The following is a 26,223-nucleotide window of genomic DNA, read 5'->3' on the forward strand; positions in this document are numbered from 1 at the left end:
GCAGCGCGCAGGCGGTGGCGAAGAGACGCCGAGCGGGCCGAGTGCGGCCGAGCAAAGCCGGAGCCGGAGCGGGGCCGCAGGAGACGGGCCGGGTCCGGACGGGCCGAGATGCCCTATAAACTGAAAAAGGAGAAGGTGAGCGTGGCCCTTTTTCCCCCACCGCCGCCTTGGAGCCTGCGCGGAGCTCTGGGAGGGGCCGGAGCCAGGCCCGGGACAGCCCCAGACTGACCCTCCCGTCCAGCCCCCGCAGGACTCCTGGGGCCAGCCCTCCGCCCCCGCGGCTGGCAGCACCCCCAGCTTGTGCCGCAGCTAGGACAGCTCCCCCACCTTGCCCCGGAGAGACTCCCCCCACATACACCTCCCTCCCTTCTTCCCTTCTCTTACCCCCGGCCCAGGGTAACCTCCTTCTTCCAGATCTGCCCCATTCCCAGGTCACTGTCCTGCTTTTTCTGTCCCCCCCATCACCCCTGGCCCCGATCCCCCTTCGGTTTGGGCAGCCCCTCATCTGAAACTGCACCTTCCTCCAGAATTGCCCCCTCGCCCCGCCCTGAGCAGCCCCTTGTCTCCTCTTCCTACCCGCCTGGGACAGCCGCCCCGCAGTCCCCTACGGCCCCTTCTCTTTCCATGCCAAGCCCCTGACCTAGAACAGCGCTGCTTTCTCTCTCCTCCACCCAAATCTGGCCTAGGCCCCTCCCTCTAGTTCTTCCTTCACACACAAACTTGTAAGCAGGACTGAGCCCTTCTGTTGATGGAACCTCACAACGTTGGTGCTGGAAGGGACCTCTGAGCGCATGCAGTGCAATCCCTAATGGTACAGATGAGGAGACTGAGGCCCCGACAGGGCAAGGGACTTGTCCAAGGTCACACAGCCTGCTGGAGGCCCAGCTGCAATATCAGGTCTCCTGACTTAAAGGCCTCTTTTGTATCAAAGCCCTCCTAACTGTCACCCAAGTGCATCCTAGACCAGTCACCTTTCCTAATCTGAGTAGGCTCCTCACCCTTATTCTTAATCCTAGGATAACCTTTGCATTTTTCCTTTTTTTTTTTCTTTTCGCACCAGTGCTGGATTTCTGCCTTTCCTAAGCTACACCATCTTCAAATTGGGAATTTGTCCTCACTGTCAGATTATTGTTCCTTCTTAGCCTGCAGGCCAGCCACCCCTGAACACCCATGTCTTTATCATGATGTCCTGACACAGGCCATTTCTTTTTTTTTTTTTTTTTTTGAGATGGAATTTTGCTCTTGTTGCCCAGGCTGGAGTGCAATGGCGCGATCTCGGCTCACCACAACCTCTGCCTTCTAGCTTCAAGCGATTCTCCTGCCTCAGCCTCCCAAGTAGCTGGAATTACAGGCATGCGCCACCACATCCGGCTAATTTTGTATTTTTAGTAGAGACGGGGTTTCTCCATGTTGATCAGGCTGGTCTTGAACTCCTGACCTCAGGTGATCTGACCCCCTCGGCCTCCCAAAGTGCTGGGATTACAGGTGTGAGCCACCGTGCCTGGCCCACAGGCCAGTTCTTAATGTTGCCTTCTTTCACCTTCCTCATCTACCTCGGTGCTGCCTTCCCCTGCTCCTCATCCGTGCCTTTTTCTACCCTCTGTTTCCTGCTGTTGCTGAGGTCTGACTCAGAGGTGTGGTTCCTTTGAGGTACAGACTCACACATAGGATGCTAGGATACCAGTTCCAGCCTCCCCCAGCTTCTCCTCTCCTGGGGCTGGCCCTTTTTGGTGGGGGTTGGCTCTGGCCTGGTGTTCTGGCCACCTGCTCGATGACCCCAGAGGTATATTGCTTTCATTTGCCCTCTGATTGGCTGGGTTACTGGGCTGCCATCTCTGACCTTTTCAATCAAACTTTTTCTCCTGGGGCTGTTCTGTATTTGCCAGGCAGCTCTGATTCTGAGTTGTCCCCTTAACCTTTCAGGGCCTGAGGTTCTAAGTACAGGGTTGGTGATGGTGTACTAGATAGTGAGCCTCCTGGGAGTAGTGAGCTGGACAGGGTTTTGTGCCCCACCCAGGCCCTGTCCTTGGGGAGTGGGCATGCGGAGGTGGTTTGGGTAGCTCAGTCGTAGACAATGCACACAGAAATCAGCCACAACAGGGGCTAAGGGAAATGGAATTCGGGGAAAGCTGGTGAGGTCCCCACCCATTTGTAATTTTTAGTCTGTTGGACTAGATACTGTCCCATCCACAGAAAGCAATAGCCTACTAGATTGTGAAGAAGACAAATTGCCAGTGAGATTTGCTAGGACCATGGGTGTAAACGTTTGGTTGGGAAAGGGTGTTGGAAGTAACGGGGTGCATGGAGCCAGGCATAACTCTCACCTCCCTATAAGGTTTTTCTGCTCTTGATTTTCAGTTGCATTTGGCCTTCTTCAATGGTTGGCAGGCTCTAAGGGGCAGGGGGGTTGCCAGTGTGACTGAGGTTTGTCTGGATGGCTGTGGGTGGAGGATCTTTATTGCTCATCTATGACCTGTCCCCTCTCTCCTGGCCATCTTTCACAGCTTCCTCTCTAAAGCCTTTCTGAGCCCTCAGTCAGGAGTGAACTCTCCTTTCTTTTCTGGATTTGCAGAACACTTAGTAGGCCACTTATGGTCCTTTTGTGTTTGGCCTTGGATGGGAATTAATTGTGGACAAGACTTTTCTTCCCCTTTGAGATAATAACTAAGTTTCATTTTGGTTTGACAACTCCTTTTCACACGGTAAGTACGTGCTTAGTGGATAGGTGCTAAGATAATCTCTTGGAGGGATTCGCATCTCTCCTCTTCCTTCATGTTCTCCTCTGGGACTTACCTCTTTTATTTTCCTGAGTAGGGTGCCCCTGCCCCCTCCGATTTTTTTCTTGTTCATAATAATAGTAATAACATTGACCAGCACTACGGTTTTCATGTGCCTTAACACTGTGCTGAGGGAAGAGGGTATTATGATTGTCATCATCTAATAGATGAGGAAACTGAGGCTCAGAGAGGCTAGTTAACTTGCCTGTGATTACACAGCCAGTAAGAGTTGGGCCCAAAACACAGGGCTGAGTCCAAACATGTTCTTTTAACCTCTGTGCTACACAGCATTTGACTACTGAGCTGGGCTGAAATGTGTGTGCTTCACCTGTTCTGCAGGAGCCAGGGAGCAAGGGTGGTAGGCCTGGTTCCTCCATGCCCACTCACACCCACACACTAAGGCAGCTGGATCTCTCTTAGGCTCATTCTTTGAAAGATACGTCTGAGGCATCATGCTGAGTGCTGTAGGGTGGGTGGAGGGGTACAAAAAAGAATAAGCAGCTTATGGTCTAATAGATTGGAGATGTATGAAGATGGGTCAGCTTTGTTCAAGGGGTTCATGTCTGGGGTGTGTGCAGACACCTCAATGTTGTGTCCTGCCTGCACCCTGCCCCCGGCCTATTTCTCTCCACCCCATGCTCTCAGCCACTGATAAGGGTCAGTGTGGCCAGCTGGGTTAGTATACAGCAGGAGCGTGCTCAGGCCAAAGAAGGAACTCCTTCCCCCTACTGCATGGAGCTGCTCTACACCACACCTTTCTTCCTCCCCACCTCCAAGAAGCCTTCCCCCTACTCCAGCCCACACAGAGCTCTCTTCTCCCTGAAATCCTTTTGCCCCCATAGTCACAATAACTCGATTTAACACTTCTCACTGAAGGGGCTTGGCTGCTATTGAATTGCACAATCTCAGAGCTGGAAGTGATTTCCAAGATCCTCCAGTCCTCATTAAAGGCTTGAATTTCTTTTGCAACATGCCTTACAGGAGGTCACCAAGCCCCTGCTTGAATGTTCTCAGGGGTTGGGGAGCTTTCGGCTTCACTAGGTGGCCAGTTTTAGTGCAATTGCTCCATGATAAAATTCTTCCTTGTTTGGAGCTTCAGGTGGCTTGCAACTTCAGCCCATTGCTCTCGTGCCTCTGGTCCATATGGACAAGTTGCATCCAAGGCATCCAAGTTGCATCTTCATTTGTTTAAGATCCATCTTGCTTCTCCATCCCTCATGACTCCTCCCTTCCATTGTTAACTATCCCAGTTCCTGCAGCTGTTGGTCTTGGGACATGCCTTTGAATCCACTCCCAGTATGGGTTGCATTTCCCTCTAAGAAACACTAGGATTTGTCATGGCCCCTCCCAAGCCTGATGCTCATGACTGAACCAGATCCTCCAGGATAGCCCTGTCAGTGCCAAGCAGTCTGCACAGGTCTTTTAACAAGATGGAAGGTCACATGAGCTGCACATGGATGATTTGTGTTGAGCTTGCAGTCAGACCTAAATCCCCAAGTCTTTTTCACATTTTCCCTATCCTGTCCCTGTGCAGTTGCTTTTTTTGGCTCGAAGCATAGGAAGAGATGCTGGGCAGGCCAGGGCTCTGAGCCAGCTGCCAGGTTCCCAAAGGAGACTTCAGACTAGTGCTCACTCTTTGTAACAGTTCAGGGTTTTACCCCCATCCCTGTCTTAGTGCTTGTCAACTGAGGTGCTCTTGGCATTTTGAGTGGGACAGTTCTGTACCTGTTAGCATTCCTGGGCCTTACTGATTAAATGCTGAGTAGCACCCTCTTGTCTGTGCGCTATTTGTGACATCCAAAAATTGCCTCCCAGTCTTTCCAGGTGGCTGTGAGGGGAGAGTGGTGACTCCCTGCACTCCAGCATGAAAGCCTCCGGCACACCTTTGACCACTTTAGCCAGAAACCAGTGAGCAGCTGTTCCCTGATGCTTTTTCTTTAAGCCTCCTCACCCTGGTTCTGACCTGAGCAAAGGCCCTCCCAGGCCCAACCTCTGCACCAGCCTGATGAGGTGAAAGATGGAGCATTCTCACGCTGAATTAGTGTGTGTTTGGGGTGACTTCCTAACCAGATTCTAAACTCTTTGGAGGGGCTGAATCTCCTTCTGCGTAGATCCCTCCACCCACCCCAGCTCCGCACAAGGTAGATTCTAATTGATTGATTCAACTGGACAGAGGATATTTGCAACAAAGATCTAAGGGAGCCAGATAAGACCTCTCCCTTCTCCTGGCATCTGCTAACTTTACTTTCATCTTTTCCTTTCAGGAGCCCCCCAAGGTTGCCAAATGCACAGCCAAGCCTAGCAGCTCGGGCAAGGATGGTGGAGGCGAGAACACTGAGGAGGTAATGAATGTAGGCGTAGCCTTAGATGTGGTGCAGGTGCCACCCGCAACTCCATGATGGCTAGTTGGGTAGGGGATCCCAGGGGGTGAGGCAGAAGGGAAGGCTTCCATATCCTGGGAGGGACCTGGACAGCCCATCCAGACTGCCCTCAGGCAGGATTTACCTTTGGTTGGTATAGACCAAATACATTCTCTAGTTCTTCAGACTCCCCAGAGATTCCTATGAAAGTTGTTTCTCTGCTTACCAACTTGGAATGTTGAGAATTCCTTTTTCTTAGGGCAAAAAGCGGGAGGTTCTGGGATCCTGGGCAAAAGGGGAAAAGTCCACAGACACTTGATGGGGTAACAAGTGACTTCAGCATGGCTCGGGTGGGGCAGGGGATTGGGAGGGGCTGGTGTCCCTGAGTTGGGCCCAGCTGGGCCCACTGCCCTTGGTCCTGATTGAATGGCAGCATGACTAAAAGACAGTCCTGAGCAGAGTTCAGCGCAGCTTAGCAATCTCGGGTTATAAAGCAATAAACAGCAAGCCGAGAGAACACCAGAAGAGGGAGAGACTTAAGGAAGTACACAGTATGTCCATGAAAGTTTGGGAGTGTGCACAGTGGGATGCTCTGGATGGTGAAAGATCCTGTGAACATACACAGCGAGCATCCACCACATCCTACCTGGAAACTGGTGTTTGGTGCTTTCTCTGCTTTCTCCCTCTGCTCTAAACTGTTCAGAGGGATGAAAGAGAACTGGAAACACAGCTCTCTAGTTATGGACAGGTCTTATGGTTTTTTGGGAGAAGAGATTGATGAGCAAATGTTTGGGGTTAACTATGCGTTTAGATGTTTCTCAGTACTTCTGGTGATAGGTCACCTCTAAAGAGATACAAGCACTTTTCACACCTCATTTTAGGCCTCATTTAAGTAATGAGAAGCTGAGTAGGTTTTCCCCATTTTATAGGCATGGAAGTTGAGGACCACAGAAGAGGAATTATTCTTTCCTCTGCACTTATGCAGTATTCTACTTTTTTTTTTTTTTTTTTTTTTTTTTTGAGATGGAGTCTCTCTCTTGTTGCCCAGGCTGGAGTGCAATGGTACGATCTCGGCTCACTGCAACCTCCACCTCCCGGGTTCAAGCAATTCTCCTGCCTCAGCCTCCTGAGTAGCTGGGATTACAGGCGCATGCCACCATGCTTGGCTAATTTTTTTGTATTTTTAGTAGAGACGGTGTTTCACCATGTTGGCCAGGCTGGACTTGAACTCCTGACCTCAGGTGATCCACCCGCCTCAGCCTCCCAAAGTGCTGGGATTACAGGCGTGAGCCACTGCACCCGGCCCTTATGCGGTATTCTAAATATCTCCTTAATAATCCTTATCACTCAGCTCTGTGACGATTTGTCCCCATCTGTGTCTCTCCTCTCAGACTGTGAACTCCAAGGGAAGGAGCTATGTTATTCTGCATTGCTTCTTTCCTACCTCTGTGTACTTGTGCAGTTGGTTCATAGTAAATGCTTCTGGGAAGACACACTATGGGCTCAGTCTCCCTTTCAGGAATGATTATAATTGTGGGACCCACAGGGAAGGTGGTTGGAAGCTGGTAACTTGACATTTAGAGCAGCAAGAAACAGGATTTTCTAAGTCCTGAAAATCCTGGGAGAGGAAGGAAAATTTAATGGGGAGTTCCCACCTTTTGCCTAACTCCTACTTCTTTAGTTCTTAGATGGGATGTCGTTTCCTTAAAGCAGCCTTCTTTGACCACCCACCCCTATCCCCAGGACCTCGCGAGGGCTTCTGTTAGTTGCTGTTTTGGCACTCAGTACCTGGTAGCGCTGGTAGCACCTAACCACAACTGTCATGAAATAATTCCTTGTGAATTCATTGTTTTATCGGCTGTCTCTTGTGTTAGCACGAGAGCTCCATGAGGCTCTCATTCACTCCTGAAGGGCCTGACACAGCAGAAGCACCCAGCATTTGAATGTATTAGTGAGTGAATGAGTGAACGAGTGAATGAACAAATGCACCAATTTCACATTAGAGCTGAAAAGGACCTTAGGGTCTAACGTTATCAGTTCATAGATGGGAAAATGAAGCCTGAACAGGTTAAGGAGTATGCTGAGACCAACTGCTATGATTTATCCACTGCCTTTCAAACAAATATGCCTAAGACAATGGGTCTATTACAAGCAATCTGGGAAAGGAGGGTGTTGAGTTCACCTTGGGCTGTTTGGTGAAACGCTGCTCAGGGTTCACAGGTATGAGATGGCAGCAGGAATTATCCATGATTTTGTAGAAATGTACCCACGTCTGGTATGGCAGGGGTATGGGGAAAAGTTGGAGCTAGGATGTGAGGCTGTGGTCTTCAAAAGCTGTTTGGCACAGTCCTTCCCTTGCCCTTTTTCTTTTGAGATGGAATCTTGCTCTGTCGCCCAGGCTGGAGTGCAGTGGCGCGATCTTGGCTCACTGCAAGTTCCATCTCCTGGATTCACGCCATTCTCCTGCCTCAGCCTCCCGAGTAGCTGGGACTACAGGCTCCCGCCACCACGCCTGGCTAATTTTTTGTATTTTTAGTAGAGATGGGGTTTCACCATGTTAGCCAGGATGGTCTCGATCTCCTGACCTCGTGATCCACCCGCCTCGGCCTCCCAAAGTGCTGGGATTACAGATGTGAGCCACCGCGCCCGGCCCCCTTGCCCTTTTCTTGTCCGGAATTTTGGGCTCTTCTAGCCAGCTTTGCTCTGTCAGGCATTTGCCAGAGCCTTTCTAATTGATCTAATAGTTATAGCAGCTGACATTTATTTTATAGAGCAGTTACTTTGTGTTAGTTTCCTAGGGCAGCCATAATAAACTACTACAAATAAGCCCGGCATGCTGGCTCACACCTGTAATCCTAATGCTTTGGGAAGCTGAGGTGGGAGAATTGCTTGAGGGCAGGAGTTTGACACCAGCCTGGGCAACATACAGAGACCCTGTCTCTACAAAAAAATAAAAAATAAAAAATTAGCTGGATGTGGGGGCATGTGCCCCTGTACTTCCAGCCACACGGGAGGCTGAGGCGGAGGATCGCTTGAGTCCAGGAGTTCAAGGCTGCAGTGGGCCATGATCGTACCACTGCACTCCAGCCTGGGTGACAGAACGAGACCTTGTCTCAAGAAAACAAAACAAAACAAATTATTACAAATTGGGTGGCTTAAAACAATAGAAATAGGCTGGGTGCGGTGGCTCACACCTGTAATCCCAGCACTTTGGGAGGCTGAGGCAGGTGGATCACCTGAGGTCAGGAGTTTGAGAGCAGCGTGGCCAACATGGTAAAACACTGTCTCTACTAAAAATACAAAAATTGGGCTGGGCATGGTGGCTCACACCTGTAATCCCAGCACTTTGGGAGGCCGAGGCGGGTGGATCACCTGAGGTCAGGAGTTCAAGACCAGCCTGACCAACATAGTGAAACCCTGTCTCTACTAAAAATACAAAAATTAGCCAGGCGTGGTGGCACATGCCTGTAATCCCAGCTACTAGGGAGGCTGAGGCAGGAGAATCGCTTGAACCCAAGAGCCGGAGGATGCAGTGAGCCGATATTGCACCATTGCAACCCAGACTAGGCAACAAGAGCGAAACTCCGTCTCAAAAAAAAAAAAAAATACAAAAATTAGCCGGGCGTAGTGGTGGCGCACCTGTAATCCCAGCTACTGGGGAGGCTGAGGCTGGAGAATTGCTTGAACCCAGGAGGCGGAGGTTGCAGTGAGAGGAGATCGTGCCATTGCACTCCAGCCTCGGTGACAAGAGGGAAACTCTGTCTCAAAAAACAAAAAACAAACAAAAAAAGAAATACATTCTCTCTCAGCTCTGGAGGCCAAAAGTTGTAAAATTAGTGTCGGCAGGGCCATGTCCTTCTGAGGTTCTAAGGAAGAATCTGTTCCACATCTCTCTCCTAGATTCTGGTGGCTTTTGACAATCTTTGGCATTCCTTGTAGATGCATCACTTTAATCTCTGCCTCTGTCTTCACACAGCATTCTCCTCCATGTGTCTCTGTCTCTGTCCAAATTTTCCTCTTCTAAGGACACCAGTCATATTGGACTTAGGTTTCACCCCAATCCAGTATGATCTCATTTTAACTTGATTACATCTGCAAAGACCCTGTTTCCAAGTAAGGTCACATTCACAGATTCTAGGTGGACATGAATTTGGTGAGGGGAGGGGGTAGGGGACTGGATACTGTGCAACACTATGTACCAGGCACTGTGCTAAGTACTTTGCATACATTGTCTCATTTAACCTTCACAATACTCCCCTGAGATTCCTTTATTATTATTATTCCCATTTCACAGATGAAACTGAGGCTTAGAAATGTTAACTGGGCACAGTGGCTCACGCCTGTAATCCCAGCACTTTGGGAGGCCGAGGAGGGCAGACCACCTGAGGTCAGGAGTTCGAGACTAGCCTGGCCAACATGGTGAAACGCTGTCTCTACTAAAAATACAAAAATTAGCCTGGCATGGTCCAGCTACTTGGGAGACTGAGGCAGGAGAATTGCTTGAACCTGGGAGGTGGAGGTTGCAGTGAGCTGAGATTGTGCCACTGCACTCCAGCTTGGGGGAGAGAGCAAGACTCTTGTCTCAAAAGGAAATGTTAAGTAGCTTTTATTCAGCCAGTAAGGCAGTAAGGCAGAGCTGGAATTCAACCCAGGTCTGTGTGACTCTGGAGTCTCTTGTGGTCTTGAATGAAGTGATACTGCTGGCTCTAAGATTCTAGAAGTGAATCCTAGAATGGAAAGGAGCCTTGGGAGATCAGGTGAGACCCCACTGACCTGCCTCTGCAGGTAAGGGTCTTTCTTGATCTGTCCTTGGAAAAAAAAATTCAATGTCCTCACGCCTGTAATCCCAGCATTTTGGGAGGCCGAGGCGGGCGGATCACCTGAGATTGGGAGTTAGAGACCAGCCTGGCCGACATGGTGAAACCCCATCTCTACTAATAATACAAAAATTAGCTGGGCATGGTGGGGCATGCCTGTAATCCCAGCCTGTTATCCCAGCTACTCGGGAGGCTGAGGCATGAGAATCGTTTGAACCTGGGAGACAGAGGTTGCAGTGAGCCAAGATCACGCCATTGCACTCCAGCCTGGGCAACAAGAGCAAAACTCCATCTCAAAAAAAAAAAAAAAAATTAATGTCATAGACTCCTCTACGTGCTGAGCCCTGTCCTGAGTCTGGGAGTAGGGACAGAGGGAGGAATAAATTTTCCCACACTTCAGCTTGTCCTCTCTGAGGCCAGAGTTGTTACTCTAAAAACCTTCTTGGTCTTATCAGTCCTCTACTTAAAAACCATTTTTGGCATCTCACTGCTTACAAGTTAAAATCCAAACTCACTAGCATGGCACCCTCAACCCCTCTGAGCTGGCCCCACTCTTCTTCTAGCACCAGTCCTGCCTTTGTGTCCCACCGAACTTTTTCTTTCTTTTTTTTTTTTTTTTTTTTTGGAGATAGGGTCTCACTGTGTTCCCCAGGCTGGAGTACAGTGGTACAATCATGGCTCACTGCAGCCTCAACCTCCTGGGGCTCAAGGGATCTTTTCCCCTCAGCCCCCTGAGTAGCTGGGGCTGCAGGCACGAGCCACTGTGCTCAGCTAAGTTTTGTATTTTTTGTAGAGATAGGTTTCTTATTATGTTGCTAAGGCTGGTCTCGAACTCTTGGACCGAAGCAATCCTCCTGCCTTGGCCTCTGAAAGTGCTGGGATTACAGGTGTGAGCCACTGTGCCCTGCCCAACTTCCTATCTTCTGATATGACAACCCCTTTATGACTCAGGGTGCTCACAGATGCAGTTCCACTGGCCCGGACTGCTTTATTTCTCCTGTGTCTTTTTTTGCCTATTAAACTCATGTTTATTCTTTTTTTTTTTTTGAGACGGAGTCTCGCTCTGTCGCCCAGGCTGGAGTGCAGTGGTGTGATCTCAGCTCACTGCAACCCCTGCCTCCCAGGTTCAAGCGATTCTCCTGCCTCAGTCTCCCAAGTAGCTGGGACTACAGGCACTCACCACCACGCCCAACTAATTTTTCTCCTTTTTTTTTTTGGGTCTCACTGTGTTCCCCAGGCTGGAGTACAGTGGTACAATCATGGCTCACTGCAGCCTCAACCTCCTGGGCTCAAGGGATCTTTTCCCCTCAGCCCCGAGTAGCTGGGGCTGCAGGCACGAGCCTGTGAGAGTGAGACAGTGAGACAGTCTCACTGTCGCCCAGGCTGGAGTGCAGTGGCGCCATCTCGGCTCACTGCAGGCTCCGCCCCCCGGGGTTCACGCCATTCTCCTGCCTCAGCCTCCCGAGTAGCTGGGACTTTCTATTTTTTTTTTTTTTTTTTTTAGTAGAAACGAGGTTTCACCATGTTGGCCAGGATGGTCTCGATCACTTGACCTCGTGATCCGCCCGCCTCGGCCTCCCAAAGGGCTGGGATTATAGGCATGAGCCACTGCACCCGGCCATTTAAACTCATGTTTATTTTTTAAGAGCCAAAAAAGGGGCCAGGCGCGGTGGTTCACACCTGTAATCCCAGCACTTTGGGAGGCCGAGGCGGGGCGGATCACGAGGTCAGGAGATTGAGACCATCCTGGCTAACATGGTGAAACCCCGTCTCTACTAAAAAATACAAAAAATTAGCCGGGCGTGGTGGCGGGCGCCTGTAGTCCCAGCTACTCGGGAGGCTGAGGCAGGAGAATGGCTGAAACTGGGAGGCGGAGCTTGCAGTGAGCCGAGATGGCGCCACTGCACTCCAGCCTGGGTGACAGAGCGAGACTCCGTCTCAAAAATAAAAAAAAATAAAAAAAAAATAAGGGCCAAAAAAGAAAAAAAAACAAACAAATCAAAAGCCACCTCTTCAGGGATATCTTCCCTAATTCTTCCAAGCAGAGTTTACAGCTCAGCCTTCTCTGTTCTTGCATTTTCCTTGTTCAGTTAGCTGCATTTGTGTCTGTCCTGCCTAGTGGACTGTGAGCTCTTTGATGGCAAGGGCCATGTCTTAGTCACCTTTTAATCTTTTTTTATGGTATAGAATTTGCATATAAACTTTTAATCTTTAATGCTTAGCATGATGTTTAGTTAATAATTGAAGGAAGGAAAGAATTAAGCAACACTAGATGGAGCTCTGGATGTCACTACTGGAGAGAAGGCCTCTGATTTTTGGGATTTTAAACTAAAATGATCTTCATTTATTAGGCCAGTTAATTCATTATGCAAAAGAGATATAATATTTAATCTTTGCATTTTTTCTGGTAATTGTATGTTTCATCTTTCTCTTATATTAAATACTTTCTATAGTGCTTAAATTATATTGTTATCTCTTTGTTTTTTTATGTATTTATTTTTGAGACAGACTCTTCCTTTGTTGCCCAGGCTGGAGTGTCTTGGCTCACTGCAACCTCTGCCTCCCGGGTTCAAGTGATTTTTGTGTCTCAGCCTCCTGAGTAGCTGGGATTACAGGCGCCCGCTACCACGCCCGGCTAAATTTTGTATTTTTATTTATTTTATTTATTTTTATTTATTTATTTTTTGAGACGGAGTTTCGCTGTTGTTTCCCAGGCTGGAGTGCAATGGCGTGATCTCAGCTCACTGCAACCTCCGCCTCCCGGACTGAAGTGATTTTCCTCCCTCAGCCTCCTGAGTAGCTGGTATTACAGGCATGCACCACCACATCTGGCTAATTTTGTATTTTTAGTAGAGATGGGGTTTCTCCATGCTGGTCAGGCTTGTCTTGAACTCCTGACCTCAGGTGATCTGCCCACCTCAGCCTCCCAAAGTGCTGGGATTACAGGCGTGGGCCACTGTGCCTGGCCGTTTTTATTTTTATTTTTATTTTATTTTATTTTTTGAGATGGAGTTTCGCTCTTGTTGCCCAGGCTGGAGTACAATGGCGCGATCTCAGCTCACTGCAATATCTACCTCCCGGGTTCAAGCAATTCTCCTGCCTCAACCTCCCAAGTAGCTGAGATTACAGGCGCCCGCCACCATGCCCTGCTAATTTTTGTACTAAAAGTACATTTTGTACTAAAAGCTAATTTTGTATTTTTAGTAGAGACAGGGTTTCACCATGTTGGTTAGGCTGGTCTCCAACTCCTGACCTCAGGCGATCCGCCCACCTCAGCCTCCCAAACTGCTGGGATTATAGGGGTGAGCCACCATGCCCAGCCAACTTCTGTATTTTTAGTAGAGACGGGGTTTTGCCATATTGTCCAGGCTGGTCTCGAACTGTTCTCAAGTGATCTGCTGCCTTGGCCTCCCAAAGTGCTGGGGTTACAGACGTGAGCCGCCATGCCAGGCCCCTATCTCTTTATTTATATTTGAATATTTGGGTTTTATTTATATATATATATATATATATATATATATATATATATATATATTTTTTTTTTTTTTTTTTTTTTTTTTTTTTTTTTTGAGACGGAGTCTCACTCTGTCACCCGGGCTGGAGTGCAGTGGTGTGATGCTGGCTCACTGCAACCTCTGCCTCCCGGGTTCAAGCAATGTTCCTGCCTCAGCCTCTTGAGTAGCTGGGAATACAGGTGCGTGCCACCACGCCCAGCTAATTTTTGTATTTTTAGTAAAGATAGGGTTTCACCATGTTGGTCAGGCTGGTCTCAAACTCCTGATCTCGTGATCTGCCTGCCTCGGCCTCCCAAAGTTCTGGGATTACAGGCATGAGCCACTGTGCCCAGCGTGGGTTTAATTATTAATGATGGCCGTGTTCGGAATAGGCTGGACCAGGATAGGTTCAGAGTAGGCACGTTTAGTTGGAATTTTCTGAGTATGAGTGTCGTGTGGAAATTCACAGTGCCACTTGATTGCTGGAGGCCTGAATCTAGGAAGGCTTCTTGGAGTATGGATCCTGTTGAGAGTTTGGAAGTGAAAGTAGTAGTACTTCAGGCAGAAGAGATGGCCTCTATGGAGTCCCAGAAGTGAGGGCCAGGTATGGTGGCTCACACCTGTAATCCCAGCACTTTGGGAGGCTGAGGCGGGTGGATTGCTTGAGCTCCAGAGTTTGAGACCAGCCTGGGCAACATGGTGAAACCCTGTCTCTACAAAAACTACAGAAAAGTAGGCCAGGCACGGTGGCTCACGCCTGTAATCCCAGCACTTTGGGAGGCTGAGGCAGGCAGATCACTTGAGGTCAGGAGTTCGAGACCAGCCTGGCCAACATGGTGAAACCCCGTCTCTACTGAAAATACAAAAATTAGCCAGGCCTAGTGGTGCACGCCTGTAATCCCAGCTACTCAGGAGGCTCAGGCAGGCGAATCGTTTGAGCCTGGGAGGCAGAGGTTGCAGTGAGCTGAGATTGCACCACTGCACTTCAGCCTGGGTGGCAGAGTGAGACCCTGTCTCAAAATAAATAAATAAATAGAGTCCCGAAGTGAAACTGGGCAGGACAAAGTAGCGAGTAGAGGACAGATTGGCCAAGTTGCCTTTGGTCAGTGTCCACCCCTGCTTTGATGGCTGCAGAAGCTTCTCAGGGGACTCACTTGCCTTCTACCCCCAACCCAGGTGAATGCACAAGTTAGTGGCTGGGGCTTTTAAGAGAAATGGTTGAATGCCCATGAGTAGTTGACATATCCCCCACCTCCCTCTGACATGCATGTTTCCTAGTGAAGGGTGAATAGACAGCGGATACCTCATTGGGGCTTGGCAGCCAGGGGCTTCGCTGGCAGAAACAGCTGTCTCTCAGATGCTTCTTGTGTCTGGATCTTGGGAGCCAATGGTCCTTATAAACCAGGGCAGCTCAGTGGGGTAGGGGGCAGGGCAGACTAAGCCCATTCAGCTGCTCTCCAGCCACTCTAGCCTTCAATAACACAATGCTAGTGTAGAAAAGACCTTAGATATCAGCTCATTGGGTGGTTTTTATTTTGTTTCATTTGTTTTGTTTTGTTTTTTTCTGAGATGGAGTCTTATTCTGTTGCCCAGGCTGGATTGCAGTGGCACGATTTCGGCTCACTGCAACCTCTGTCTCCCAGGTTCAAGTGATTCTCCCACCTCAGCCTCCTGAGTAGCTCGGATTACAGGCCCCCACCATCACGCCTGGCTAATTTTTTGTATTTTTAGTAGAGATAGGGTTTTGCTATGTTGGCCAGGCTGGTCTCCTGACCTCAGGTGATCTGCCCGCCTCGGCCTCCCAAAGAGCTGGGATTGCAGGCATAAGCCACCATGCCTGGCCATTGGTGGAGCATAAGACCCCCTGTTCTCTCTAAACCTTACCGGAATAATCGTTGGGAAACCACTGATCTAGTCCTGCCACCTCTTTTTTTTTGAGATGGAGTCTTGCTCTGTCGCCCATGCTAGAGTGCAGTGGCGTGAGCTCGGCTCACTGCAACCTCCGCCTCCCAGGTTCAAGCGATTCTCCTGCCTCAGCCTCCGGAATAGCTGGGATTACAGGCGCCCGCCACCACGCCCAGCTAATTTTTGTATTTTTAGTAGAGACGGGGTTTCACCATGTTGGCCAGGCTGGTCTCGAACTCCTGACCTCCTGATCTAGCCACCTTGGCCTGCCAAAGTGCTGGGATTACAGGCGTGAGCCACCACGTCTGGCCACCTTTTTTTTTTTTTTTTTTTGAGATAGAGTCTTGCTCTGAATCCCAAGCTGCAGTGCAGTAGTGTGATTTTGGCTCACTGCATCCTCTGCCTCCTGGGTTCAAGCAATTCTCCCATCTCAGCCTCCTGAGTAGCTGGGGCTACAGGCGTGCACCACCACACCCAGCTAATTGTTTTTTTGCATTTTTAGTAGACTCAGGGTTTCACCATGTTGGTCAGGCTGGTCTTGAACTCCTGACCTCAAGTGATCCACCCGCCTTGGCCTCCAAAAGTGCTAGGATTACAGGCATGAGCCACCGTGCCTGGCTACCTTCTTGTTAGCAGAAAACATTGAGGCCTTCCTTTTCCCTTTCTGGGAAGAATGCCCCTCTCTGGCTGCCTCCTCAGTGTGAGGTGTGTGGAAGTACAGGGTGTCTGCATCTTACCTGGAAGGATGGAGTCTTGTTGTCAGGTTGGCACTGAGCCCCTCACCCTAGTATCACTGATGTTTCTCCTTCAGACTCTGCTCCTAATGCTGTATAGCCCCCTGTTCTGAGGATTCCTGAGTTGGGGCAGGAGAGGAAGAGTCTGTGGGGAGGAGCCTGGGCAGGACCTGAGAGCTTTGGCTCCTGGTCAACCAACCAACCAAACCTTCATTGAATTCCTATTAGGTGTTAGTGCTGGGGGCACCCAGAGGGGTACAAACAGGGTCCTGGCTTTCAAAGGACTTGCCATCTAGTTAGGGGAATGACACATGAAGAGACTAAGAGGTGTCACTAGGGGGTGAGCAGTCACAGCGCCAAGGGAAGAGACAAGTGGTATCAAAAAGAGGGGGTGACACCCAAGGGCTGGAAAGATCTGAGAAGACTTTTTGGAAGAAGGTGGGACTTAAACTGAGTCTTGGAAGATGCAGTGATTTCCTAGGTTCCTGATTTTCTTCCTTTTCTTTTTCTTTTTTGAGACAGAGTTTCACTCTTGTTACCTAGGGTGGAGTGCAATGACATGATCTCAGCTCATTGCCAAGATCAAGCAATTCTCCTGCCTCAGCCTCCCGAGTAGCTGGGATTATAGGCATGCGCCACCTCGCCCGGCTAACTGTATTTTTAGTTGAGTTGGGGTTTCTCCATGTTGGTCAGGCTGGTCTTGAACTCCCAACCTCAGGTGATCCACCTGCCTCGGCCTCCCAAAGTGCTGGGATTGCAGGCATGAGCCACTGTGCCCGGCCAGGATCCCCCATTTTTAAATGAGGATAATGGACTCAACGGAACATTTGAGTTGTGCTAGCATAGGAAGGAGATTCTAGGCTGCATTCCTAAAACCTGGATATGGGAAATAATAGTAATAGTAGTGGTGGTAGTAGAAGGTACCTCTTATAAAATGCTTCTTTAGGGCTGGGCACGGTGGCTCACACCTGTAATCCCAGCACTTTGGGAGGCTGAGGCGGGCGGATCATGAGGTCAGGAGATCGAGATCAGCCTGGCTAACATGGTGAAATTCCGTCTCTACTAAAAATACGACAAAAAATTAGCCGGGCGTGGTGGCACGCACCTGTAATCTCAGCTACTCCGGAGGCTGAGGCAGGAGAATTGCTTGAACCCGGGAGGCAGAGGTTGCAGTGAGCTGAGATTGCGCCACTGCACTCCAGCCGGGTGACAGAGCCAGACTCTGTCTCAAAAAAAAAAAAATGCTTCTTTAGTGCGTGACAGAGCCAGACTCTGTCTCAAAAAAAAAAAAAATGCTTCTTTAGTGCGAGGAACTGTTCATCTCTATCCTTACGATAGTGCTATAAGGTAGGTATGGTTGTCATCCCATTTTGTAGATGAGAAAACTGAGGTGCAGACTTTCTGGATATTACTCAGCTAATAAGTGGCGAGCCAGGATTGAACCCAGGCAGGCAGTCTGGCCCAAGGTGTTATTGAGCACCAAGCTCCACAGATAAGGGTTTGGTTGTTCTTTTTTTTTTTTTTTGATTCGGAGTCTCGCCCTATCACCCAGGCTGGGGTGCAATGGCATGATCTCAGCTCACTGCAACCTCTGCCTCCCGAGTTCAAGAGATTCTCCTGCCCCAGCCTCCCGAGTAGCTGAGATTACAGGCACGTGCCACCACGCCCAGCTAATTTTTTGTATCTTTAGTAGAGGCAGGGTTTCACCATGTTGGCCAGGCTGCTCTCAAACTCCTGACCTCGTGATCCGCCCGCCTCTGCCTCTCAAAGAGTTGGGATTACAGGTGTGAGCCACCGTGCCTGGCCTAGTTGTTCTTAAGGCAGGGAAATGGAGGCCTGAGGCAGAGGAGTGTCTGGATACACACCAAGTGCTGGCCCCCAACCTGCTTTTCTCTTACTACCACTTCCCCCACCCCAAGGTGCAACTCATCTGCCATATGTAGAAAGGGAGACCTCAGACCTCCAGATGCCTTGCCATGTCTAATACACGGGACCCACAGGCTGGACCCGGTGCTCCTCTCCTGTTCTCTCATCCCTAGATAGGTGACAAGTCCACATCATTGTTTTTATAAAAAATTCAGAGGATGCAATTAATAACATTTCTGTCTTCCTTCCCTCCCCCACCCCAGAGGATTTCAAGTTCTTCTATTATTATGGTAAGGAGTAAGAGTTTGGGATGGGAGCTGGAGAGGAGCGGGAGATGGCAGGTATGAGGCCAAGAGGTCACCTTTCCCTTTCCCTGTGGTGAGGGTACCCAGCTGGACATGGCCTCTGCCTAGTCCTATTCTAGACTCTGTTTGGGGGCAAGGGCTGTCCTGTGGTTTAGCTTCTTTCCTCTCCCAACAGGGGGCTGCCTGGACAGTCCAGGAGTACCTGTGGGCAGACAGCCCTGCAAATACCTGTATTTAGACTTCTGAAAATGGACTTCATGGGGCTGTAACACCTGTGTCTGGGAGCTATGCCTTTAAAAAGGGATAGCTTTTAGGCTGGGCACGGTGGCTCACACCTGTAATCCCAACACTTTGGGAGGCCGAGGCAGGTGGATTAATTTAGGTCAGGAGTTCAAGACCAGCCTGGCCAACGTGGAGAAACCCCATCTCTACAAAAAATACAAAAAGTAGCTGGCATGGTGGCGGGTGCCTGTAATCCCAGCTACTCGGGAGGCTGAGGCAGGAGAATCACTTGAACCTGGGAGGTGCAGGTTGCAGTGAGCCAACATTCTGCCACTGCACTCCAGCCTGGATGACAGAGCGAGACTCCATCTCAAAAATAAATAAATAAAATAAAAATAAAAAGAGATAATTTTAAAAATTAGCTGCATTTCTCCCATTATAAAAGCAGTATCATACTACACAATGGAAGTAAGGCAGAAAAAAAGCAGTGTCAGCTTGTAGAAAATTTAGAAATGCAGAAGTAATCTAATTCTACTACAGGAGATAGTCATTAACACAGTGGTGGACTTGGGCTTGTTCTTACCTTTTCTGAACCTCGTTTTTGGTTCTGTGCATGTGTTTTAATGTGAGCGAGCTCATTTTGTGTATCTAGTTTTGTACTGTATTTTTTTTTTATGTATGTATGTATGTATTTATTTATTTTTTGAGACGGCGTCTCGCTGTCTCCCAGGCTGGAGTGCAGTGGCGTGATCTCGGCTCACTGCAAGCTCCGCCTCCCGGGTTCACGCCATTCTCCTGCCTCAGCCTCCCGAGTAGCTGGGACTACAGGCACCCACCACCACGCCCGACTAATTTTTTGTATTTTTAGTAGAGACGGGGTGGATGGTCTCGATCTCCTGACCTCGTGATCTGCCCGCCTCGGCCTCCCAAAGTGTTGGGATTACAGGCGTGAGCCACCGCGCCCGGCCTGTGTATTTACTTTTTGAAGATGGAGTCTCGCTCTGTCGCCCAGGCTGGAGCTGGAGTGCAGTGGCATGAGCTCAGCTCACTGCAACGTCCGCCTCCTGGGTTTGAGCAATTCTCTTGCCTCAGCCTCCCAAGTAGCTGGGACTACAGGCACCCACCACCAGGCCTGGCTAATTTTTTGTATTTTAGTAGAGACAGGGTTTCACTGTGTTGTCCAGGCTGGTCTCAAACTCCTGAGGTCAGGCAATCCACCTGCCTTGGCCTCCCAAAGTGCTGGGATTACAGGCGTGAGCCACCGCACTTGGCCTTGTACTATCATTATTTAACTTAGCATAGGAAGCAATTTTCTGTCATTATGTAGTTTTAGGCCTTTTGTTTTATTTCAAAATTTTATCAGTATGATAACACATACATTGTTCAGATATTACTACTATTGGGGTTGGAATGCAACTCTTAGCTCTTTCCTCATTAGATTCCTTTAGATTTTCACATTAGATTCTTTTCCTACTTTAGATTAGATTCCTTTAGATTTTCACATTGGATTCTTTTCCTACTTTTTTTTTTTTTTTTTTGAGATTTAGATATTATCAATTGACTTTCTACCATGGAAAATAAGTCCTCATCATTCTTATGCCTTTCTGCAGACATTTCCCTTCCTCCAAAAATACCACCATTTTGGGCAAATTACTATGAACGTGAAAATATTTTTTACAACTAAACTATGTATTACATAGTTTTCTTTTCTTTTTTTTTTTTTTGAGGCAGAGTCTCACTCTGTCATCCAGGCTGGAGTGCAATGGCGCAATCTTGGCTCACTGCAACCTCCTGGGTTCAAGTGATTCTCCTGCCTCAGCCTCCCGAGTAGCTGGGATTACAGGCACCCGCCACCACACCCGGCTAATTTTGTATTTTTAGTAAGAGATGGGGTTTCACCTTGCTGGCCAGCTGGTCTGGAACTCCTGACCTCAAGTGATACACCCACCTTGGCCAAAGTGCTGGGATTACAGGCATGAGCCACTCACTGCACCTGGCCCATAGTTTTTATAAACATAATATTAACTCCTGATATTCCATTTATTCATTTTCTGTTATAAATGAGGTTGTTAAAAGTATTTGTGCACAAAGCTTTTTTTTTTTTTTTTCTTTTTGCCTGGCTACCTCTGTCTCCTCCAAAGCTTTTTTTTTTTAATTTAGGATTTTTATTAAGCTAAATTTCTAGTAAAGTCCTAAGACATGGGAATGAATTTCTTTCTTTTACCTTTTTAAATTTGAAAATTTTTATCTTTAGAGACAGTGTTGTTTTGTTGTTCAGGCTGGAGTGCAGTTGGTGTGATCATAGCTCATGGGAGACTTGAACTCCTGGGCGCAAGGGATCCTCCAACCTTGAGTAGCTGGAACTCCAGTAAGCTTCCTGAGTAGCTGGAACTGCAGGCATGTGCCACCACACCTGGCTAATTAAAAAAAATTTTTTGTAGAGATGGGGTCTTGCTACGTTGTTCAGGCTGGTTTCAAACTTCTGGCTTCAAGTAATCCTCCTGCTTTGGCTTCCCAAAGTGTTGGGATTACAGGCTTTGGCCACTGTGCCTGGCCTTTCTTTTACCTTTTGTTTTGTTTTTTTTTTTTGAGACAAAGTCTCGCTCTTGTCCCCCAGGCTGGAGTGCAATGGCATGATCTCGGCTCACTGCAACCTCCGCCTCCTGGGTTCAAGCGATTCTCCTGCCTCAGCCTCCCAAGTAGCTGGGATTACAGGCGCCTGCCACCACGCCTGGCTAATGTTTGTATTTTTAGTAGAGATGGGGTTTCACCATGTTGGCCTGGCTGGTCTTGAACTCTTGACCTCAGGTGATCTGCCCTCCTCGGCCTCCCAAAGTGCTGGGATTACAAGTGTGAGCCACTGCGCCCGGCCTCTTCTACCTTTTGATTGGAGACTGTCATACATTCAGTAAAGGATCTTAAGTGTACTGCTCAATAAATTTTAGGTATGTATCTGCCATGCACCACCTTGCAGGTCCAGTCAAGATACAGGATGTTTACATTACTCAGAAGGCTCCTCATGTCTCTTCTTATTCCTCATGTGTCTTCTTATTCATCATGTGTCTTCTTAGCAATACCCACCCCATTTCCCCTGGCAACGTAATCACTTTTTTGACTTCTGTCACCATCAATCTATCAATTAGCTTTACCTGTTCATGAACTGGAATGAACGTTTTAAAGGCTCTTGATGCACAAGCAGTGGGCATCTCTTTGGGTGATGTGACTTCTTGACTGCTCCCTGCCAGGGCTACAGCACAGTTATCTCTGTAACCCTGGCCTTAGCTCCTTCGGGGCAGGAGACAGCTGCTCACTGCCCAGGCCTGTGCAGGCATAAACAGACTTGGGGATGGCCAGGCCCAGGGTGGGAGGCATATCTTGGGAAGTGGATTTCAACAGGTGACTTGTTTGACCAGGCCCAGCCGCAGCCCCAGCCCCAGCCCCAGCCCCAAGCCCAGTCTCAGCCACCGTCATCCAACAAGCGTCCCAGCAATAGCACGCCGCCCCCCACGCAGCTCAGCAAAATCAAGTACTCAGGGGGGCCCCAGATTGTCAAGAAGGAGCGACGGCAAAGCTCCTCCCGCTTCAACCTCAGCAAGAATCGGGAGCTGCAGAAGCTTCCTGCCCTGAAAGGTACTTGGCAATTGGTCACAGGGGCTGTTTTACCAGTTCTAGTGGGCATCGGGAGTTGGTGGAATGGAAGTTTTGGGGTATTTTGCGGGGAAGGGAGTTCCAGAGAATGCGGGAAGGGGGTGCCAGGGAGCAGGATGGTGGCAGGGTGGGGTAAGGGAAAGCCCTTGAAGGCAAGCAGGGCATCGCAGTGAAGGACTACAGAGGAGAACCTGACTGCTGGGGCCCCCACAGATTCGCCAACCCAGGAGCGGGAGGAGCTGTTTATCCAGAAGCTACGCCAGTGCTGTGTCCTCTTTGACTTCGTGTCAGACCCACTCAGTGACCTCAAATTCAAGGAGGTGAAGCGGGCAGGACTCAACGAGATGGTGGAGTACATCACCCATAGCCGTGATGTTGTCACTGAGGCCATTTACCCTGAGGCTGTCACCATGGTGGGCACAGGGAAAGGACACAGGGGGGACTGGTGAGGGGCTCTGGAGAAGCCCAGGTGGAGCTCTAACTGGCCCTACCCCTCAGTTTTCAGTGAACCTCTTCCGGACGCTGCCACCTTCATCGAATCCCACAGGGGCTGAGTTTGACCCAGAGGAAGATGAGCCCACCCTGGAAGCTGCTTGGCCACATCTCCAGGTACCAGGGCAAGGGGGCAGATTGGCCGTGGCTGCAGGGAGTGGGGCACTTGGAGGCCTGCAAGTCCTTGGGAACATCCCCTCAGTGGCGTGCCTTTTCCCCTATAGCTCGTGTATGAGTTCTTCTTACGTTTCCTTGAGTCTCCTGATTTCCAGCCAAACATAGCCAAGAAGTACATCGACCAGAAGTTTGTACTTGCTGTGAGTCCCCGAGTTCCTGTCCTTGCCCTCTCTTTCCATTCCATGCCCCCTTCATCTGTGTCCCAGTGGCTCTTTCCCCTTAAGCTGAATATATTGGGTTTCATCCATGTCTGGTACGAGGAGGCTATAAAGGGTAAAAAACAAAACAAAACAAAACCCTACTCTGGCCTTAAGAAACTAACAACATAATGGTAGGAAACAAAAAAGCAACAGAGTACCTCTCTCAGGTCAATAGTGAGGCATCACTTTGGAAGTCTCAGTACAAATACAATAGAATCAGCAATATAATAGAATCACTGCTTTCTAAGACTTGCTGGCCCCCACTCCAGGGGACCTCTGCATTTCCCCTGGCGGGACCTATGTCACCCTGGCCACTGCCTTCCCTGGCTGCTGCCTCACTGGCTGCTTTCCCTCCCTTGTACCCCCAGCTCCTAGACCTATTTGACAGTGAGGATCCTCGAGAGCGGGACTTCCTCAAGACCATTTTGCATCGCATCTATGGCAAGTTTTTGGGGCTCCGGGCTTATATCCGTAGGCAGATCAACCACATCTTCTACAGGTGAGGCCAGGAGCCCAGGCTTAGGAGCAAAACCTTCTGCTACTGAGGTGGGGTGGGAGCAGGGAGGTGGGGGGACTGTACAGAATGCTGGAGGGACATCAGGGGTTGTCAAGAGAGCCATTTTTCTTCCCTCAGGTTCATCTACGAGACGGAGCATCACAACGGGATTGCTGAGCTCCTGGAGATCCTGGGCAGGTGAGAGGCCGGGTGGGGGCACAGATGCCTGAAAAAGGTTGGCAGGATTGGTGTACTGAACTTGGATCTGACCCTCTGGTCCTAACAAATGTCCCTTAATTCCTAGCATCATCAATGGCTTTGCCCTGCCCCTTAAAGAAGAGCACAAGATGTTCCTCATCCGTGTCCTACTTCCCCTTCACAAGGTCAAGTCCCTGAGTGTCTACCACCCTCAGGTGAGCTGCCTTCCTCCTTATAATGTCCAACTCAGGCAGCAGAGAAAAGAGCCGGCAGGAAAGTGTTCCAGCTGGGATAGGGGAAGCATAGGGAGCAGGTGGGATAATTCCTTCCCTCCATCTCCCCTTCCCTTCTGGGATCTTGTTTCTATCACTGACTTCTCTGAGAGCTTCTAGGACCTACACCTCACCTCCCTTCTACCTCACACCTTTGCAGCTGGCATACTGTGTGGTACAATTCCTGGAGAAGGAGAGCAGTCTGACTGAGCCGGTAATTCCCCTTCCGGGCCCCAAGGCCCACCTCTTACTGTCAGCATCACTTGCCAGTCTGTACCTACTGGGGGTGCCATAAGGGGGAACTCAGGAGGGCTGTGACCTGACCGGTAACATGGTTTCCTCTCTGAAGGGGAAGCAAAACCTATATACACCTAGGAAACAGATCCAAGGCAAAGAAACGGGTAGCTGGCTGAGATCACCCAAACTGTGCCCACCAGGGTGGGGGAGAGAGCAGGTAGGAAAACTTCCTGGTGACCTAGGCAGGTGCAAAGAATTTTCATCCCCATGCCCTCCTTGTCTCCCAGGTAATTGTGGGACTTCTCAAGTTTTGGCCCAAGACCCACAGCCCCAAGGAGGTGATGTTCTTGAATGAGCTGGAGGAGATTCTGGACGTCATTGAACCTTCTGAGTTCAGCAAAGTGATGGAACCCCTCTTCCGCCAGCTGGCCAAGTGTGTCTCTAGCCCCCATTTCCAGGTGAGACTCCAACCTAGCATATCCTAGCCCCTGCCAGAAACTGAGGTCTTGAGTGAAATGAGCAGCACCCACCGAGTCTGCCTCTCCCCACCAGGTGGCAGAGCGTGCTCTCTATTACTGGAACAATGAGTACATCATGAGCCTGATAAGTGACAATGCTGCCCGAGTCCTCCCCATCATGTTCCCTGCACTCTACAGGAACTCCAAGAGCCACTGGAACAAGTAAGGCGCTGGGGTGGGGCTGGGTGGTGGGGATCCAGTTTGGGAAACTTTGAGGGTATGGAAGAACTAAAGAGCCAGGGGTCTCACCTAGTCACCCAGCAAGTGGGGCTGATGTCCCCTGCATGTTGATAGGACCTTGAGGGGCTGACTGGAGCGAAAAGATGCCTGTGTGCAAGATCTCTGTGATACCAAACAGCAGGGCAGCGGCCTGTTACACCGCTCCTTGGGTTCAGCTATTCTACAGGTCCTATCACAGCTTTGGAGATGTAATTCTATGCAGTGAGAAGCTGATGTGACCTTCTTTGAGAGTATGTGTAAAGAATCCCAGGGTTTTAGGCCGGGCACGGTGTCTCACGCCTGTAATCCTAGCACTTTGGGAGGCTGGCAAGGCGGGTGGATCACGAGGTCAGGAGTTTGAGACCAGCCTGCCCAACATAGTGAAACCCCCATCTCTACTAAAAATACAAAAATTAGCTGGGTGTAGTGGTGGATGCCTGTAGTCCCAGCTACTTGGGAGGCTGAGGCAGGAGAATCACTTGAACCTGGGAGGTGACGGTTGCAGTGAGCCGAGATCGTGCCACTGCACTCCAGCCTGGGCAACAGAGTGAGACTCCGTCTTAAAAAAAAAACTCAGGGTTTTGAAAAGACTTTTCTGCTAAAAGCAAGCACACTGTGGTGTAGATGCAGTCTGTCATGCTGCATCTACATGCCCATCATGCTGCTGGGAGGCCATTAGTGTGGGTTAGAGTGGGAAAGGATGGGAGGTAGGCAGGCCTTGGAGCATGGGGTGAGGGAAGGATGGACAGGTGGACCGATATTTGTGAAAACCATGAAATGCCAGTCTCAAACCAGGTGATTTGGCCAGAGCTCTCTTCTGATACTGCACAGAGGTTTGTGAACTGGAAGTAGTAAATGACAAAGCTCTTAGCAGAGATACCCCTGTGAGAGAACAAATTGGGTTCCTCACGCTAAGGGCAGGCTCTGGCCTCCTACACCTCATCTTTCTTCTTGGTGGCAGGACAATCCATGGACTGATCTATAATGCCCTGAAGTTGTTTATGGAAATGAATCAGAAGCTGTTTGATGACTGCACACAACAATACAAGGCAGAGAAGCAGAAGTGAGTATCTCTCTCCCCGGGAGACTTTCATCTTCTACCACCAGCTCACTGTGTTTCTCTCAAGCCCAACCCCAATCCTACTTTTGCTCCTCAGGGGCCGGTTCCGAATGAAGGAAAGGGAAGAGATGTGGCAAAAAATCGAGGAGCTGGCCCGGCTTAATCCCCAGGTGAGGTTTTCCTGCCACTGTTGTGAACTGAGGGGCCAGCCCATCTTGAGCTGGGG

At 49.5% G+C, this 26,223-nt stretch overlaps 1 protein-coding gene across 4 annotated transcripts in view, besides 3 other annotated features; it reads left to right on the forward strand.

Moving 5' to 3' along the window:
* PPP2R5D (protein phosphatase 2 regulatory subunit B'delta) overlaps positions 1–26,223 on the forward strand; it is a 27,773-nt gene continuing 1,550 nt past the window's right edge. Inside the window, exons 1-14 of one of the 4 annotated variants that reach the window (NM_001270476.2) lie at positions 1–135; positions 5,042–5,119; positions 21,877–22,110; positions 22,342–22,541; positions 22,627–22,737; positions 22,845–22,937; positions 23,366–23,496; positions 23,632–23,691; positions 23,798–23,906; positions 24,124–24,177; positions 24,488–24,658; positions 24,753–24,880; positions 25,899–26,000; positions 26,095–26,167. In NM_001270476.2, coding sequence (NP_001257405.1) covers positions 22,473–22,541; positions 22,627–22,737; positions 22,845–22,937; positions 23,366–23,496; positions 23,632–23,691; positions 23,798–23,906; positions 24,124–24,177; positions 24,488–24,658; positions 24,753–24,880; positions 25,899–26,000; positions 26,095–26,167 — 1,101 coding nt within the window. In that variant the 5' untranslated portion in view covers positions 1–135; positions 5,042–5,119; positions 21,877–22,110; positions 22,342–22,472. The remainder of the gene's footprint in view (positions 136–5,041; positions 5,120–21,876; positions 22,111–22,341; positions 22,542–22,626; positions 22,738–22,844; positions 22,938–23,365; positions 23,497–23,631; positions 23,692–23,797; positions 23,907–24,123; positions 24,178–24,487; positions 24,659–24,752; positions 24,881–25,898; positions 26,001–26,094; positions 26,168–26,223) is intronic. The other 3 variants (NM_006245.4, NM_180976.3, NM_180977.3) reach the window with 3 other exon arrangements.
* Positions 50–119: a silencer, noted in NCBI's record as "silent region_17211". NCBI's record gives its function as "represses an Ori minimal core promoter by ATAC-STARR-seq in GM12878 lymphoblastoid cells {active_cell/tissue: GM12878}" and the evidence as "EXISTENCE:reporter gene assay evidence [ECO:0000049][PMID:35858748]".
* Positions 210–359: a silencer, noted in NCBI's record as "silent region_17212". NCBI's record gives its function as "represses an Ori minimal core promoter by ATAC-STARR-seq in GM12878 lymphoblastoid cells {active_cell/tissue: GM12878}" and the evidence as "EXISTENCE:reporter gene assay evidence [ECO:0000049][PMID:35858748]".
* Positions 4,002–4,296: a silencer, noted in NCBI's record as "tiled region #14905; HepG2 Repressive non-DNase unmatched - State 15:Elon, and K562 Repressive non-DNase unmatched - State 15:Elon". NCBI's record gives its function as "represses a minimal TATA promoter and a strong SV40 promoter by Sharpr-MPRA in HepG2 and K562 cells {active_cell/tissue: HepG2 | K562}" and the evidence as "EXISTENCE:reporter gene assay evidence [ECO:0000049][PMID:27701403]".

This window comes from Homo sapiens, chromosome 6 (assembly GCF_000001405.40).
Source record: "Homo sapiens chromosome 6, GRCh38.p14 Primary Assembly".
NCBI lineage: Eukaryota > Metazoa > Chordata > Mammalia > Primates > Hominidae > Homo > Homo sapiens.